This window comes from Homo sapiens, chromosome 12 (assembly GCF_000001405.40).
Source record: "Homo sapiens chromosome 12, GRCh38.p14 Primary Assembly".
Classification (NCBI taxonomy): domain Eukaryota; kingdom Metazoa; phylum Chordata; class Mammalia; order Primates; family Hominidae; genus Homo; species Homo sapiens.
The window spans coordinates 53,997,824-54,015,344 of NC_000012.12; the positions used below are offsets into that span (position 1 = coordinate 53,997,824).

The 17,521-nt window shown below is 54.1% G+C and overlaps 2 protein-coding genes and 1 long non-coding RNA gene across 3 annotated transcripts, besides 2 other annotated features; 2 read left to right on the plus strand and 1 right to left on the minus strand.

The window, feature by feature from the left end:
* Positions 1–1,198: 1,198 nt before the first annotated feature.
* On the minus strand, positions 1,199–2,187 carry HOXC-AS1 (HOXC cluster antisense RNA 1). Its single transcript, NR_047504.1, has 2 exons — positions 1,886–2,187; positions 1,199–1,444 (listed from the first exon to the last, which is right to left on the minus strand). It is a non-coding gene; the product is annotated as an HOXC cluster antisense RNA 1 (long non-coding RNA).
* Positions 2,188–2,337: 150 nt separating this feature from the next.
* Positions 2,338–5,514, plus strand: HOXC9 (homeobox C9). The gene is made up of 2 exons (NM_006897.3): positions 2,338–2,903; positions 4,607–5,514. The coding sequence occupies exons 1-2, from the start codon at positions 2,366–2,368 to the stop codon at positions 4,849–4,851; spliced, it is 783 nt and encodes a 260-aa protein (NP_008828.1). The 5' UTR covers positions 2,338–2,365; the 3' UTR covers positions 4,852–5,514.
* Positions 8,269–8,338: a silencer, noted in NCBI's record as "silent region_4520". NCBI's record gives its function as "represses an Ori minimal core promoter by ATAC-STARR-seq in GM12878 lymphoblastoid cells {active_cell/tissue: GM12878}" and the evidence as "EXISTENCE:reporter gene assay evidence [ECO:0000049][PMID:35858748]".
* Positions 8,569–8,648: an enhancer, noted in NCBI's record as "active region_6431". NCBI's record gives its function as "activates an Ori minimal core promoter by ATAC-STARR-seq in GM12878 lymphoblastoid cells {active_cell/tissue: GM12878}" and the evidence as "EXISTENCE:reporter gene assay evidence [ECO:0000049][PMID:35858748]".
* HOXC8 (homeobox C8) lies at positions 11,162–14,946 on the plus strand. The gene is made up of 2 exons (NM_022658.4): positions 11,162–11,897; positions 13,266–14,946. Exons 1-2 carry the CDS (start codon positions 11,462–11,464, stop codon positions 13,556–13,558), a joined length of 729 nt encoding a protein of 242 aa, NP_073149.1. The 5' UTR covers positions 11,162–11,461; the 3' UTR covers positions 13,559–14,946.

Here is a 17,521-nt window from a genome sequence, read left to right on the forward strand (position 1 = left end):
GGTCTCAGTCTGGCCCCGGGCCCCGCTGAGGGCTAAACGTCTCTGCTCATCGCTGCCAGCAGCCGCCCAAGTGCCGGGCCCGGTCCTCAGCCGCCCTGGGCTGGGGGAGGTGCTGGCTGTACTGGGGATTTGGAGAAAGCCTCGGCAGGGGGACTGGAACCTCCTGTCTTTTCCTTGAACTAGTGAGGGAGATTTTTTGATTGACAGCTAACCCAACTCCATCAAGGCCAAAGAGATATTCTGTTTCTTGTTGTAAGTTGGGCTTCCCAGCTCAGTCCAGCTCAAGGGAGGGGAAGACAGTGGCGCCAAGGAGCTGAACCCCCAAGTCGCCTCTCCCCAACCAAACACATCCCTCATCCTCCCCCATGAGTTGAAATCCCAGCCCCGTTAAGCCGCCCCCTTAGACCAAAAAGGAAAAGGAAAGAGCCAGAGAGGGGGAGGAGCAGAGACTTGGGAGGGGGCCTATGGAGCTGGGGTCGGTGCTGCCAGCTGCAGCTGTCTCCCCCTAACTTTCCTCCCCCCGGAACACACATACTATACACACTCTCCCCAGCCCCTCTCCACCCCAGAGGAGAAAGATCCATAGAGACGCAGGAGAAAACTAGCCCCCGCCCCTACCCCTGGCGTTTGGTCCCCTCCTGGGGACAGGAGAGGGAAAGAAGGGCAGGCGTGGCCGGGTCTGGGAAGACTCCTACCCTGCTGCCTCCAGAGCCTGCATCTCAACCTCAGCTCCTGTCTATTTTCCCTGGCCACAGACTGGGACTCTTCCTTTCTGACCCTGAAATTGCACCCCTCCTTTAAATTCACTCTACCCTGCCTAAGTGCACCATATTTCTGGGGGTTTCACCTGTCCCTTTCTCCCCACCCCCCAGCCAACCTCCATGCCCCCTCTTCTTCACCCACCCTGATAATTTCCTACTTGACTAAAGCCCCCCTTTACTACACCACCATGGGACAGTCTGATGCAAAGCAGAGGGCTGGGCACAAACCCTCAATTGAAGGAGGAGGGTAGCAACCAACTTATTGGGGGGAGGAATCCAAGTTGTCTGATATTCCTCTGCAATCACACTGCCCCCTCTGGAATTCCTGCATCCGACCCCAAAGAAATTGCTTTCTCCTGTTCCTCCGTTGCTTTTTTCCCGTTCCAAAAACAGCCTACAATTTTATTTAATGAAAGATACATTTATGAACAATCAAATGATCCTCATAAAAATTTTATTGAGGGACGTAAAAACAAGCTACTTGCCCACGACCGAGGTCGCTCTTTTGCCTTGCCCGCTCTCACCCTGGCTCTCTGCAGACAGAGCCCGGGAGCGACTTTTTGGGGGGAGTGGGGGTGGGGAAGTGTCGCAGAGATGGAGTTGGGGGCAAAGGAGGGTGCGCAGGAAGATGGGATGGGGACGCCCCACTTAAGTTGTGTAGATCTCTCCTACACTTCTTCAAGCTGGCAAAGAAAGATAAATAGATATAGACAATAAATTTAAAATAAAGGCGCCTGTATATCTGTGCCAAAGCAAAGAGAAGACTTCTGAGGCTGCTGATAAAGGTGTATGAGATCCTGAGGTTCTACCCCTCCCACCCAGGGACCACCTTCCCCAGGCTTCCCCTACCCCAGATTTGGGGGGCAGAGTTGGCCAGTGGCAGAAGAACGCTCCCCTTCCCTCCTTCCCTCCCTGTATCTCAGCTTCCCCAGTCCCCTCCCACCCTCCCTCCCTCACCGCCCCTGCTGCTCCTGAAAGAAATACATACATACACACTATTTAAAAACGCATTTTTAAAAGCCACGTTCCGAACTGACAATCGCTGATCTCGGCTCGCGCAGAGACTGCGGGAGCGTCGGGGCCGACAGAGACGGATTACGTCAAGAAATAGTTCCTCCACCTACCTCGGTCGGCCTCCCCGCCCCTGCGGGGCTCCCGCGCCCAGCTCGGCCCTGGGGGTCCGAGAACCCTGGCTTCGGGGACTGGCATTTTCACCCCATTAAAAAATCCTCATGGTTGGGGGGAGGCCATCTGCTTATGGGTGGACATGGGCACAGGGGCTTCTCAGATGAGCTAGGAGCCGTCCTGAGGGGGTGACCGGTGCCTTGGGTCCAGAGTTCCGGACCCCCAGGAAATCGCAGGTCGCGGGGAGCAGCAGAGAGAAGGGGGTGGGAGAGGGGGAAAAGAAGGCAAGGAAAAAAAAGCCCCTGCGCATTGATCCGCGCCGTATTTTTGGGTAAATACGATCACGTGGGGGCCGGGGAGCCAATGAGCTGTGGGGAAAAGGCTGGAAAAATAATTACCTGACTTGATTGTTCTGTGAGCAGATAAAAAGTACATATACAGTTCATACAATAATCTTATGTATGTAAAACCCCGTTACGATGTCGGCGACGGGGCCCATCAGTAACTATTACGTGGACTCGCTCATCTCTCACGACAATGAAGACCTCCTAGCGTCCAGGTTTCCGGCCACCGGGGCTCATCCCGCCGCCGCCAGACCCAGCGGTTTGGTGCCGGACTGTAGCGATTTTCCGTCCTGTAGCTTCGCGCCCAAGCCGGCAGTGTTCAGCACGTCGTGGGCGCCCGTGCCCTCTCAGTCGTCCGTGGTATATCACCCGTACGGCCCCCAGCCCCACCTCGGCGCCGACACGCGCTACATGCGGACTTGGCTCGAGCCGCTGTCCGGCGCCGTCTCCTTCCCCAGCTTCCCGGCCGGGGGCCGTCACTACGCCCTCAAGCCGGACGCCTACCCCGGGCGCCGCGCGGACTGCGGCCCAGGGGAGGGCCGCAGCTACCCGGACTACATGTACGGCTCGCCCGGGGAGCTGCGCGACCGCGCCCCGCAGACACTGCCCTCGCCCGAGGCGGACGCGCTCGCCGGCAGCAAGCACAAAGAGGAGAAGGCCGACCTGGACCCCAGTAAGTTGGGAGCAATTTTCCTTTACAACCGGCGCGGGAGGGGAGGGGAGGACGGGCGGGGGCAGCCGAATTACAGCCCTCCCGAACCGTGCAGGGAGCGCGGGAGAGGGGCGAGGGGGCGAGGACTCAATAAAAGCGAATTACCTTGGGGAGCTTTCAGGGGCAGGAGGTCTGAGAATGGGGCCCAGGGAGACAGGTTGGGAGAGGGCCGAGGGGAGCTCCTCTCTCAGGAGCTGGCTTTGATGAGAGACCCCTGCCCCCTCCTCCCAGCCCAGGCTTTTTGGCTCAGTCACCACTTTCGAAGAAAGGCGGACAGGGCCAGGGGATGGGGCTGGGGGCGAAGTTCAGTTTATGATTTGAGATGGGACAGGGAAGAGGTGAGGAGGACACTGGGGGCACAGAGGAGATACCCCCAGCGAGAATGACCCCTGCTTCCCAGTCAGCGTGGAGGTCCTCACCCCACTAGAGATTCACAAAACAGAAGGTCCATGGACTTCTCCCCCAGGAGCACTGGGTGAGGGGTCTGAGGTATTTCGAAGCCTGAGAACTTGGAGAGATCAGGACTTTCAAAGAGAAGTGGGGATAAAAGTGGGGTCTGAGCCTCCTTAAACTTGAGAACCCTCTTCTGAGGGTCTTGGAGGGGAAGGATTGAGAATGGGGATCAGGGATGAGGAGTGGGCATCTCCCCAGATTAGAGAATTCTACACACACACACACACACACACACACTCACTCTCACTCACTCACTCCAATCAGGGAGACAGGCGCCTTCTGAGGATTGCACAGGAGGGCTAGGGTGGGGGGCAGGTGGGAGCTGCAGGGCCAGAAAAAGGGGAAAGAAGGAGAAACAGCAGGGGAGGGGGTGCAGACCCCTGGGTGTGAGGAAGTGTCTGGGGGAGTCCCAGGAGGGGGCTGCAGGAAATCTTTTCCTCCAGCCCCATAAGGGGCCAGGGCCTAATTATACTCCTCTGAAGGCTTCCCTCCCTGCCCTCAGCTACTCCCATAAACCTGAAATTGGAGGCTTGGCTCCTGCAGAGCCTGTCCTGGGGCTGGCAGGAGGGGGGCACTGGAGGCCAAACAGGAAAACTAAGATATAGGGGAGCCTGTCCCCAAGGCCAGCGGCTCTCTGGGGAGAGGAGAAAGACTTTTCCCGTCTCAGCATCACCCTGAGAATTCGCCTCAGCAGGGTTGAACTCCAAGCGGGAGGATGGTGCTGCAGAGGGTGGTGAGGGGTTTAGGGATTCTCAGGGTCAGGAAGCAGAACTGCTAAAATTTCAGGACTTGGTCGTGGGCTGGGAGGATGGGAGGGGGCAGAGGAGGAGGGAGGTGGGGAGGAGAGAGACCTTGCTATAAAAATAAAAAACAAGAGAGAGAAGCGTTTATGGGCCTATGAAACGGTTGGGAATTTGGACTTTTTATGAGGATATTCTCAAATTACTACTCTTGAAGCTGAGGACCAGACTAGAGGGGCTTTGATAGCTTTGGATTTCCTACAGTTTTAGGTGCTGGAAACTGAAAAGGGGGAAGCTGGGGAGGGGACAGAATGCAAAACGAGGAAGGAGGAAAATTCCTAAAGCAAAATGTGTCCAAATTCAGGTTCAGTTATTGCATTTGGGGAGCCTGGCTAAGTCTAGGGGTAGAGTAGCAGAAGTCCTGGGCTGGAAAGGGGCTCCACTGACCCCTGCTTGTGTTTGGCCCTCCAGGCAACCCCGTGGCCAACTGGATTCACGCCCGCTCCACGAGGAAGAAGCGCTGCCCCTACACCAAGTACCAGACGCTGGAACTGGAGAAGGAGTTTCTCTTCAATATGTATTTAACCAGGGACCGTCGGTATGAGGTGGCCCGGGTTCTCAATCTCACCGAGCGGCAGGTCAAAATCTGGTTTCAGAATCGAAGGATGAAGATGAAAAAGATGAATAAAGAGAAAACCGACAAGGAGCAGTCCTAAACCCTACCCAGCCTGCTGCCTCAGCACAGCCAAGGGAAAAACAAAAACCCCACAAAATACCCCAACACAGGCGGGGGAGAGACGAAAAAGAAAAGGAAAGAGCAAGATAGACAAAAGCCAATCAGCTTAAAAAGAAAAACAAGGAAGGGGAAAAGAAAACTCTTGCGATTTGGGAGGGTTCAGTGTTGAGATATTGGTGTTTTAGAGTTAGTTCTACCCAGCGAGGAGGAGGCGGGGAGAGAAACTGCGTTCTCTTTCCCCAGCGCAACCGAAATAAATGACACATACAAATGTGATTTTTTTCCTCCTTTCTTCAGAGAAGCCAGTACTTGAATCGCTATATTTCTATTTTTTTTTCCCTGTATCGTATTTGGTCCAGGTCATCCCTCCCCGGGCCTGGGGCGCTCTGCGTGCAGATTTTGTACAAAAAAAAAAAAGACACACACACATACATGATAATGATTCCCAGCCCAGGAGCTGAGGGGTGAGGGCTGGGGACCATGCCGCGGGCTAGGTCGGGCCCGTGCAGGCCGGCGCCTTGGGCTGTACATAGTGTTCCCTCTCATCCCCAGGGTTCGTCCCCAGCGTCCGTCCTGTAACGTGCTTCTGTTTGTTATGGTAGAACAGCCCTGTGTTAATATATTGAAGTCACTTAACCAGAAACCCAACTGTATCCAGTTCTCGTTATTTCTCCTCCCTGTGGTTCCCAGTCTGCTGTTGTGGAGGAGGCAAGTGCTCAGGTCATCTAGCGGAGGCTGGAGCCAGAGAATGGGCTCCTTCTACCTTGGAAGGGCAAACGTCTGCTTCTGCAGCTGCTTCTCTCCAGTCAGGGAGGGGTGGGGGGTCTCTGGGGGTGGGGTGGAGGCTGCTGAGGCCCAGGCCCAGCTTGTGCTTTCCCCGGCTGGCTGCCTACAAGTTTCCTGGTGGCTAGATGGAGTGCGCGGGAGAGGCACGGCATGAATGGCTTTCCTTGGCTGTAATTAATTGTAATAATTTATGAGTACATGAGATTGGAGGGAAGAGATAGGTGAAGATGAAAGTTGGGTGCTGGGTGAGGGCCCAGGCTGGATTCTTGCCTGGCGGCATTGGTGCTTTGGTGCTTCCAGGGATGGCTGGGAAAGAAGGCTGGGAGGGGGCGTGTGACTAGGAGGAAGGCCAGGCAGGCCTCAGGGAGCAGGACAGGCACTGGGGACTGCAGTGGAAGAAAAAGAAGAAAAACACAGTGAGAGAGAAGAGATGGGACATGGAAGGAGAGAGGAAAGAAAAGAAGGAAGAAAGGAAAGGAAGGAGGGAAGGAGAAAGATGGCAAAGCCAATACAATCAGAATTAGATGTAGTTTCTACTTCTCAATGCAGTCTCAGCTCCTCGATCCCCTTCTCCTAGTTCTTTTCTTCCCAATCTCTGTCTCCCCTACTCTGGTGTTTAGTTTGAATGTTTGTCTGGGGGTGACTGGGTCACGCTGTGCAGCTGCAGCATTTCTGGGGGATGGTGTGCCCAAGGCCCAAGGAAGCTGGCCAGAGATTAGCCAGGAGTGGGGTGCTCCCTGGTGGCCGTGGGACCCCAAGCGCAAAGATGTGGGGATGTGTGTGTAACAGTCCGGTGGGGCTGATCGGCTGTACTGCACCCCAGGGCGCCTTCCTAGAACCAGCAGTTTTAATCTGCTAATCAGAAGCAGACACAAGCTGCCGGGTATGCCTCGGCCCAGCGCCCCCTTTCTCGGAAATCCCCCAATCTGGAAACTGTTAAAATCAGACTGCTTGAAATATAGTCATTTAATATCTCAAGCTGCCCATTCTGCCAAAGGTGCAGGGTGTCGCTCTGAATATTTGGGGAGATACTCCGTGAAAAAAAATAGAGACCCAGCCCATGTGCTGCTCCCCGTAGCATCACCTTACAGGATGGTGAGACACTTGTAGGGACCAGCCCCTTCCCCATCATTTGAATCTCCTACTCTCTCCTTCTATTAAAACTCCAATGTCGGTGGCTGGAGGAGGGTAGGAAGGGGTGAAAATTTTGTTTCGATAATACTGGGGGGCAATCAAGTCGCAACAAGGGACTTCGCAGTCGCTGAAGCACCAGCTCCTCTTTCGAGCTTAGGAGACCGCCTCCCCAATTCCAGAAGCATTGTTTTCTTGGTCCATTTGAAAGGTGTTTTGCCTATAGTTTTTCTCCTTCCTCACACCTCTCTTTGGCCATTTTGCTGTTCTGGAACTCTGACTCCTGTTCCCCACCCAGTGGAGGCCAAGACACCCCTCTCTCCCCTGGTCGGGAGCGCTGGGATGCGGGCTTCTCTCCCAGACCGAGAGCGGCGTTTCCGGGCTTCCACCCCGCCCCTGCTCCCAGGCCCTGTCGCCTCCCCTCAGCGTCCATCAGCGCGGCCTGCTTCCTGCAGCCGGCCTGAGCGGCCTTACTGCGGGCAGGAAGGAGGGCCGCGGGCTTGGAGGACCCTGAGGAAAGCATGGGATGCAGAACAGGCCCACCCGGCCCGGCCCACTGTTCAATCCCAGCCCAGCCTGCAGGTCAGGATTGGAATCATTTTTTATTCGCTATCATTTACGAATTAACAACACAACACGCATCTGGGGAAAGAAATGAAAGCTGGGGGTAGAGAGGGGCTAGCAAACGCCCTCTTCCCCTAATCTTCCCCTCCCACCTCTCCTCTGCTCCTTTGTCAGAATCACAAAACCCTAAAGATTGTTCCACTTGAGAAGGCAGCGGATAGGTACATTTCCGCAGCCCCGAAATGCCACTTTTATGGCGCTGTTTGTCTCCCTGTTCTGGGTTCTCAATGGGGCCGAACAAAACAGCAGCGCGGAGCTGGCTAGACGTCTGGGCTTAATTGTTTTATGGTTTAAATAAGGTGGACACTTTCCTTTGAAATCGGATTATAGGAATGTTTTGTCTATGGCCCACGGAGAACAGGACCTCACTGGCTGAGAGGGAGAGGTGGAGAGCGCGCGCGCGAGAGGGATGGGCTACAAACCAGGGGTCAAACAGCCTGGAGAAGTCCGAGTCCCACCCCAAAGTCCTGCAGGCGGCGGCGGAATAGTCGGTGCGGGGCCAGCATCAGGGTAAGAGGAGGGAGGACTTTAGGGTGCGCGCCGCGGGCAAGCCGTCGTGGGAGCCTCGGAGCGTGCATCCGCGTTCGCGGAGATGTTCCAAGCCCAGAAATGCGCCTGAATGGGGGGAGATCGCGGCAGTTGCTTTGCTTAGAGTCTCTTAATTGGAGAAGGGAGGGTAACAAAAAGAGAAAACAGTGTGGAACCTTTCACAAGGTTTTATTTCAAGAACTTAGAAAACAAAAGAACAGCAGTCCTGGGGCAACTCCCAGGGAATCTCTCTCTTGAGCACCCATCTGGAGGTTCCTTCCTCCCACTTCCCACCTTTGGGGCAAGCCTGGGACCTCTTGTTAGCTTTTTCCCAGCCGGACTGCATTGGACCAAATGGACGCGAGGTGGCGCTGTTGCTCAATGTTAGAGGCGGCGGTGCCCCGGGCCGCCCTGGCCGCACTGACATTTGAGGCCCGGCCCGCAGCCGCTGCAAGAAGGCCCCGCGCCTCGGCCGGCCCGGCCCCACTGGCTCTGAGCAAATCAATCCTCTCACCTGCGAGGTGTAAATAATTCGCGAGTGGCAGCGGGAGATGGGCCCTCGATCTGGCAGCGGGCTCGGAAGGCTCAGGAGGGCAGGCATTAAAAATAATCGCTTTGTGGAGGAGATAAGTGCAAAGCAGGCAGCGCGTAATTAACACAAAAAGGCAGAATGACCCGGACAAACGAACATAAATCCGTGGTACCTATGAGGGCGGTGCAGGCCTCGGGGAGAGGGACAGAGACGGCCTCGGCGAGGATGGCTGCTTTCGGTTCCTTTATTTCCAGGCTCGGGGAGCGAAATAAACCAGATAACGTGTAAAAGAAAGCAAACAAACAAATGAAAGAACGGTGAGGGATCCCCAAAAGGGGAAACCAAGTCCGGCCAGGGGTTGCGGGACTGGTGGGCTCTCCGGGCAGGCGGCGGTGGCGGCACACTCGGGACAGTCGCATTCCAAGACACAAAGCCCCGGAAGAATAGCTCTCTGGCAGGGTTTTCGCTGGACCATAAAATGTCGAAATATCCCCCCACCCCACCCCCTAAATGATAAGGCGCAGGCCCCAGAGCGGATCCAGCCCTCTGGGCCTCCTTTTTCCAGGCTGGGAAGAGAAAGTATTTATGACAGTCTCCAGTGACCCAGATGCTGGGAGCCCAGAGTCCACTCTGTTCATCGCAGCACCCGAAGAGCAGGCTCAGAAAAGGCAGGGCTGGAGCCAAGGCTGAAGCGAGCTGTGGTACGGGTAGAGACGCCCTGTCCTGACCCCTACTGTTCTGGACCCTAGGGAGGCCTGCAGCCCTGGCACAGCCCTCTTCTGACCCTTCCCTCGTGCTGCTCCAATGCCAGAGTTCTGGGTGTCTAAGAGTTTGGGCAGCTCCTGAGATGGGGGTGGGATTCCCCAAATGCAGGGGATCCTGGAGGGAGCTCTTGCTGCCTGCACCAGTGAATCTCCTTTGGGAATTTGACAGAGAGTGGCCATTTCCCCAGCAATTACTTAGATAATAGGGGGACTGGGTTGGGTGGGAGGAGGTGTTCATTCTCTCTAAACCATCCTGCCCTGAACCGCCATTCCTTCTTCCATCTCCAGAGCTGGGCTCCGGATGGGGAAGGAAAAGGTCTGGTTGCCTAACCACCTCCTTCCTCATCCAACCCTGAAACCCCCAGGATGTGGAAGAAAAACAGGTAGCATTTTGCTTTCATAATGCAAAGACCTAAAGATGCATCTGTGTTTGTCAGGCATGTATGCATGTGTGCCTGGGTGTGCACATGTGCGTACAGTGTCTGTGAGGTGGCAGGGATGCTTCCAGGCATGTGTGTGCTAGTTTACACTGAGCATGGACTTGATGTGTCTCAGGGTGAAAAGTAGCACGTACAGTGTGTGTGTGTCCTGAGTGTGCTCTAGGATTTCCTGGGTGTAACAGCCTCACACCCTGGTGAGGGAGAGGACTGGAAAAATAATTCTTACTCATCTTTTTCATTCATATGCACACAGCATGCATGTATTCTCACCTTCTCCCTTTTTCTCTCTGTCTGTGTTAAGCCCAAATCACTGTACACACTTATGGCCAGAGAAGGGTGCTGATGGACTAAGGTTCTTTAATCCATTAGAATTAACTTGAACGTATTCAGTCTTGGGGATGGGGGAACCCTCCAGAGAAAGTGTGGATAAATATTTAAAGAGTGTCTGTTGATAGTTCCCATCCACATCCTGGCCTGGGCAGCCTGCCTGGGGAAGAGGGAGCTGCAGTGAAGCCAGGGGCCCCACCAGGCTGAGCTGGCATTTCCTATGGCATGGGGGTATGTGGGGACAAGTAAGAGGCCTGCTCCAGTCCCCTCCAACTCAGATGCAAATAGTCTCCTAAGAAGAAATGTCCTGAATCAGCCCAGCTAGAAACCAGGGACACACAGCTGCCCTTTCCTTTTAGTCTCCATAAGCAGCTTTGCTCTCAGAGCCCCTAGCCAAGCTTGTGGCCATTGCCTGGGTTTCCTGCTCCATGCAGGGGCTCGTGTCTGAAGGGGCAGTGTGGCCCTGACTGGGTATATGGAGTTTTCCCCAGCCCCACCTCCTCTGACCCTCTCCTCTACCCATAGCAGGTAGCAAGAGAGTCTCCTGGATCTAAGGAAGAAGACAGAACAGCTTCGGACCCTGGGGAGGGGCCAGGGGATGGAGGGTCTGATGCCTGAAGTATTTGGGAGTATGGTGTGCTTGTTCCTCCTCAAAGTCTCCAGACTTAGGGACCCCCTAGGAAGCCCATCTTTTGGGTTAGGGGCCCTGCTCTGGCTTGCAGGTATTCATCCCCTTGGAGGTCTTATACCTGTTGAGGTAACCTGGGTTGACCTGCTGGCTCAGGTATCTCTCTCTCTCTGAGAAGAAGGAAAAGAGAAGCGAGGCTGGGGGCGAGAGGCACCTTCACATCTAAATTCGTACCCTGGAAAACTGGCCCCAGCCATTAGCTGGGGCTGGCTCACCACCCCCCTACACACACCACACACCCCCATCCCTCCCCCTCTCCTCCCCTCCCCTTCCTCCAGGTCCCCCCAGCCCTGTACCCCTCAACCCCCGCCATCTCTCTCTCTCTCTCTCTCTCTCTCTCTCTCTCTCTCTCTCTCTCTCTCTCTCTCTCGCCTGTCTTCATGTCGTGGATTGATGAACGCGAATCGCGTGTAAGCGCCGCCACCGCCGGGAGTCTGAGGAATTCGCCTGGGCTGTTAGAGGAAAGAGCTAAGTGAGAGAGCGCGAGCTCTACCTACCGACAGTGAGGAGCGCCGCCGCCGCCGCCGCCGCCCGCTCGCCGCCCGCCGCCGCCGCCGCCCGCGCCCCAGCCCCGGGAGCTCTGCTGATCCGGCCGAGCTCAGCACCGAGGCGCCCCCCAACCTGCCCAGCCCCCAGCCCACCAGCCCAGCCCAGTCCCGGGGAGCCAGCTGGCCTGGGGTTCGGTCCCGGGGGGAGGGGAGTTTCGGGGGTACTGGGCGGGGTACTCGTGAGCCAGAGGGGAGGGGGCCGCGGGTTTTCATGTACCCAGCATGAGCTCCTACTTCGTCAACCCCCTGTTCTCCAAATACAAAGCCGGCGAGTCCCTGGAACCGGCCTATTACGACTGCCGGTTCCCTCAGAGCGTGGGCAGGAGCCATGCGCTGGTGTACGGGCCCGGCGGCTCGGCGCCCGGCTTCCAGCACGCTTCGCACCACGTTCAAGACTTCTTCCACCACGGCACCTCCGGCATCTCCAACTCAGGCTACCAGCAGAACCCGTGCTCGCTTAGCTGCCACGGAGACGCCTCCAAATTCTATGGCTACGAGGCGCTCCCCAGACAGTCCCTTTATGGGGCTCAGCAAGAGGCGAGCGTGGTGCAATATCCCGACTGTAAATCCTCCGCCAACACTAACAGTAGCGAAGGACAAGGCCACTTAAATCAAAACTCGTCTCCCAGCCTCATGTTTCCATGGATGAGACCCCACGGTGAGAAGCCTTTTCTCTTTCCCCCTTGGTCTCCCGCGCTCCAGGGTTTCCCCCCCTCCCTCGCCTCCTTTTTGTCTGCCCTCGCTTTTTCTCCTGGCTTTGGGGTCTCTCCCGCCCCACCCCCGTGCCTGTGCCTGGGTGGTTTTCTCGAAGTTGGGAAGGCTCCGCTGGGGCGGGGCAGGGAGGGGGTGCCTAGAACATTTAGGGGATTGGGGTGAAGGTGAGAGAAAGCTGGTGTGTGGCCGCAAAGGGTTAAAAATCGTTTTCTCCATCTCTGTCTGTCTGTCTCTCTCTGACTCTCCCACTCCCCATCTCTAAAGTCAAAGTTGGGGAGGTGGCTGGGAATGGTACCCTGAGTACCCTGAGACTGTCAGCCTTTGGAACAAACCAGTTTCTCCAGAGGCAGGGAGCCTGGAGTCCAGGACACTGGCCAGGCTGTCTTGGGGCAAAGGGAGACAGACCCCTGTTGCTCTGCCCTAGCCAGAGTGTGGTGAGACTCTAAGGACAGGCTCTCTGGCTCTCTAGGGCACCCATAACCTCCTCTCAGAGAACCAGCCTGAGGGCCACTACCCCAACTTTTTTATACTTCCCCCAGTTGGGAGAAGACGGGGGAGCCTGAGAGGAGGGGGAAAAAAGAGTGCTCAAAAGGAGAGAGGCCATAGAGATTAGGGGTTCCTGAGGTCCAGAAGACCCTAGCCGCCCCCCCAATCAAGGACTTGTGGGGTCTCCCTGAGACCTGCAGAGTAGCTTAGGTCATGAGCCCCTCCAAGGGTGGCCCCTCATGGCCCAATTTCGAAGTACAGGGGGAAGCGATAAAGCGACAAGTTCCGGCGGGGATGGCCCATGATTTATTTGCTGGTCTCCAGTTAGCAATCAGGCGGAGCGGTGACACATTCCAGCAGATCAATTATTTTTCTTATTGGAAAAGCATTAGGCAGAGAGAGACAAGGAGAGGGCAGTGGGCAGAGCCCCTCTTCTTTACCCCCAGCTTTTTTTCCTTTCTTTTGGAAACAGTCTGTCCCCAGCCTCGCTCACTAAATGCCCTGCTGCACTTGTAAACAAAGCTGCAAAGGCCAGTTCCTAGGATTACAGGCCTGGTGGGGGGGATTCTACAGGGCTCCCCAGCCCCTGAAAGGCCCCAGTTTCCAAACAGACCCTAGCCCCCACCCCCACCCCACCTCCCAAGGTGAAGCCAAACAAAAACAATCCCCCAACTTTTCTGCCCTTGTCTGCCTTCTGCTCTAGCCTTTTCCATAGAGGGGAGGCGAACTGAGGAGATCAGAGAGGGGAGTTTAGAGTAGGAAGAGTGGCAAAGGAAAACCAAGCCCCCATCCAAACGTAACCAGACTGGGGTTTTCTTCTGTCCAGCTCCGGGGAGGCGCAGTGGACGGCAAACTTACAGCCGGTATCAGACCTTGGAACTAGAAAAGGAGTTTCTCTTTAATCCTTATTTGACACGAAAACGTCGGATTGAAGTCTCTCATGCCCTGGGACTGACCGAGAGACAAGTGAAGATCTGGTTCCAGAACCGAAGGATGAAGTGGAAAAAGGAGAACAACAAGGATAAACTGCCGGGAGCCCGAGATGAGGAGAAGGTGGAGGAAGAAGGAAATGAGGAAGAGGAGAAAGAAGAGGAGGAAAAGGAAGAAAACAAGGACTAAGCAAAAAAGAAAGACCCCCCCCCCCTTAGCAACTCCCTTGAAGTTTCGTTTTATGGTAGCAGATAAATTGAGAAGTTTACGACTGTCATTTGCTTTTATAGAGAATAGAATGACACTCACAACTCTAACTACCTGTCAGATACTTGCAGCTCTGGTTTTATTACCTTTGGACTTCCCCCACTCTTTATTTGTTTGGGGGCTGGAGGGGGGAGACGGAGAAACAGTGAAAAGTTCGGACTCTCTGTCTCACTCCTTGCCCCACACACACTTGTCCCTGCCCCCACCCTTCTGAGTCCTTCCTGGATTTTAAGGTCTGAGACCTGGCCTCCGTGCTCCTCGGTCTGTCTCTCACCACACTCCCACCTCCCTGCTTCTCTGGTATTTATTTTAGAGGGGAGCCCCCTCGAAATGCAGAAAAGGACTTGTGGTTTTGTTTTTATGCTAAGGCTAGTGTACTAGATGTACTTTTTCTAAAAAGGAAAGGACAGAAAAAAATGAAGAAAGGAAAGGAAGACAAATGTAAAGAAATAAGGAAAAAAGCAAGGAATATCCCCTCCCCCTCCCCCTCCCCCTCCCCAGGGCTCCCTGCTTAGAAAAACCCCCTTGACTTTCTCTAGGAACCTGATGGAAACCTGAAGGAGATGTGGGTCTTTCCCCTCCCCCCATTTCCAGAAGGGTAGATAGGAGCCTGCAGTCGCCTCTAAAATCCTACCTAACCATCCCATGGTCACTCGGGCCCATGCCTTCCTCTCCTTCGCTGTTTGATTTCTATTCTGTTGGGCCCGCCTTCCTCTGAGCTGCATTAGTGTTAGTGCTCAGAAATCACCATAATCACGAAAATAATAATAATAAATCTTTAACATACTACCTAAAGGGAACCTGCAATAATCTTGAAAAAGAAAAAGAGAAAAATTTTAAAATCCTGCTATAGGAGAAAAAAAGAGAAAAAAATAAAAATCAAAAAAAAAAAAAAGAAAGAAAGAAACCTCCAGCGTATTTTATCACTACCTATAGAAAGAAATCCTGCTTTGAGAGTATTTGTAATGCGGTTTTGTTGTCGTTTGTTGCTGCTTATTTCACTAAGAAAACCCAACAACTGAGACTGCCTAGCCCGCCGGTCCTGTGCGCTTTTATTGTGCTTCTAACCCCAGTAGAGTAGAACTAAATTGCACTGAATGTATAGTTAACTCTGTCTTGAATTCTCTGTTTATGCAATGTGCTCGAAAGAAAAAAATGTTAAAAATATATCTATAATAATAATTTTTTGTCATTTGTCTTTATGTCCAGCTATGAATGTAGATTTTGTGTCCCGACAGCCCTGTTCCTGGTCCAAGTACTTTGTATTGTATACGTGAGTCATAATAATAAAAAGAAGAAGAAAAATAATAGAAGCTGGAATGACTTGCTTTTTCTCCACAGCTCTTCCCTATTCTCTACCTTCTCTCTCCTTATCCCCCTGTCCAACTCTCTGGAAAAGGTCTGCTTCACTGCTCTGGCTTTGGGGTTCAGAAACTCACGTGGAGAGAAGCCTGGGAATTGAGAAAGCATGCTGGCCTGGGAGGGCAGGTGAAAGGGGTGAGGGGTTGAGAGGAGGAAGAAAAGGAGCAGTCCATTGGTTGAGAGAGTAAGGAGTCTATAGGTATGCCCTTGGGGGAATCTTGGCTCCAAACAAAGTGGGTTTCCAGACGCCAGGATCCCAATGGGAAGAAAGATTTCCTCACTCATCCACCCTCCTCCTCCTCAGCCTTGGGCTGGGCCCAGACAAAGAATCTGCCCTATGCAACTATGACTTTTTCTTCCAGGGTCTGGGGCTGAGGATGAGATAGTGGGATTCCTTCTGATCTCCGCATGCCCCTTGTGGCCAGACCTTAGCACCCAGCACCCAGCACTAGAATAATGAACCGGGTGGGGATGTGTGAGGCTCAGGGCAACTGGCTGGCCTGTCTGCAGGGCTTGCCTGAAGATGGGGGATGCTAAGAATGGAGGGTGAGGAAGCTTAAGCCTGAAGGAGAGGAGAAAGGAAGGGGAAAGTAAGTGAGCTCGTAGGCAACCAGCCTGAGCCCACATCCTGAAATTCACATTCAATCCTCTGCACAGGAAGATTGTCATCACTGTCATTCAGCCCGCTTGCATCCACTCCAACTTCTGTTCAGACGGTTTAAAGTCCACTCCCCACTTCACCTTGGCAATTGGTCAGCTTACCCAGCCCCCATAGTGTGGGCCATTGGCCTGGAGGATGGGCCTGCTGAGTGGACATCCTGCCACCCCAGTCACAGCGGGGTAAGAGGGCGTCTTTATTGGTATCTTCATTCCCCAAAATGAAGAATTGAAGGCTCAGGGACCCAGGGGGTAGAAGGGTCTCTCACTTCTCTCTGGAGAGTCCTGGACTTAAAAATTCTGTTTATGCCAATAAGATTCTGGTCAAATAATCCCAAATTCCAGAGATACAAGTCTTCTGACTCAGTCAGGAGAGGGGAAAAGGGAGGGGAGGGATCTTCTGGTCTTAAAAACCAGACCCCCGAAGGCTGAAATATTTTTGAGGCCAGATTTTCTTTCTTTCTTTTTCTCTTCTCTTCTCTTCTCTTCTCTTCTCTTCTCTTCTCTTCTCTTCTCTTCTCTTCTTTCTCTCTCTCTCTCTCTCTCTCTCTCTCTCTCTCTCTCTCTCTCTCTCTCTGTCCTCCCCACCCCTCATCTGTCTAGCTCCTGGTCAATGATTTTCCCAGACCTAGGCCCAGGCCAACTCTTGTTTTGTGGAATTTCACCCAGGTCCCAGTCACTGGTCCCCACGCAAACCGGGCCTGAAAATCGGGCCTGAGTAGAGAATTGAGTCGGGCTTCCTTCACAGGGGGACTCCTGCAGTCCGAGAAAGGCTGTGAATTGGAAGCACAGGCTGCAGGCAGCTGGGGCAGCTTTGAGCAGGAGCTCCGGGAAATCTTCTCTAACCTGGGGTCCCTGCTGTGAGCAGCGGCACCAGCCAGGTAACCTGTTCTCAGTGGGAGACACCGGCTACCCACCAGGGAAGCCAGAAAAGAGGCCATTTCGCTCAGACCTCAGGCCTTCCCACAGGCGTGTCCTCCATACTCCGAGGGATGGCTGAGGTCCCGTTTCGTTTTTAAACGTGGAATTATGATTGCTATTAATAAAAATATCTGGCCCAGTAGCCTAGCGGAATGAACCCAGCATTAAATGGCTCCGAAGGGCCTCGCCGCCTTTTCCCCACACCAAATGTGCCATTTATCCCTTGTCCTGTTCAGCAATGTCCGTGGCCCCAAGCCCGGCGCGTCGGAGGGCGGGGTGCGTCTGGCGCCCGGCTTTACTCGAGATGCCAGGCATGGAGAGGGCTAAGCCGAGGGAGCCCCAGCCACCCCCTCATGCAGTACCCGCTCCCCCACCCCTCCTGCCCACCGCCTCTGTTTTCTCGTTTGGAAAGAAATGGAGGTAAAAACCCGTTTTATGGGGGAACGTAATTGTGAGCGGGATGCGCTCTCTTTAGAATCGCGTCCTCCCAAATGCTCCCGCCGTCCCATTACCGGAATGGGGACCATTCGGCTGCTGCAGATAGGACTTTCTCTCCCATTCTTTACTTTTTTATTAGCCAATCAAAGTGGCTTCCGAAAGCCATTTGTGATTTGTGAAAAATAGTATCTTTCAAAATGCTGAGTTGAAGCATCTCGCTCATTGCTCCTTGAATTTATTATTCTAATCTCAACCGTAGAGCTGGAATAATGCAGCTATTAAGTTGGGGGGCAAATTCGTTTCTCTGGATTAAATTTTTTTTCCTCCCCACTCCCTCATTGCATCAGCCAAGGAAGGTGCGGACCTGCAAGAGATCTGGGGGTGGGTGAGAGAGGTAGTGAGCGTCCTGAAGGGCTCCTTGAGGGACCCTTGGATAGGCGAGTGGTTTGGTCTCCCCAGTCTTATCTTCCCCAGATAAGATGCCCTAATGACTGCCTGCTGGCTGGG

Coding starts and splice junctions, on each gene's coding strand:
- HOXC8 (NM_022658.4), top strand. CDS start 11,462: ATGAGCTCCTACTTCGTCAACCCCCTGTTCTCCAAATACAAAGCCGGC. Junction 11,898..13,265: donor TCCATGGATGAGACCCCACG/GTGAGAAGCCTT, acceptor TCTTCTGTCCAG/CTCCGGGGAGGCGCAGTGGA.
- HOXC9 (NM_006897.3), top strand. CDS start 2,366: ATGTCGGCGACGGGGCCCATCAGTAACTATTACGTGGACTCGCTCATC. Junction 2,904..4,606: donor GAAGGCCGACCTGGACCCCA/GTAAGTTGGGAG, acceptor TTGGCCCTCCAG/GCAACCCCGTGGCCAACTGG.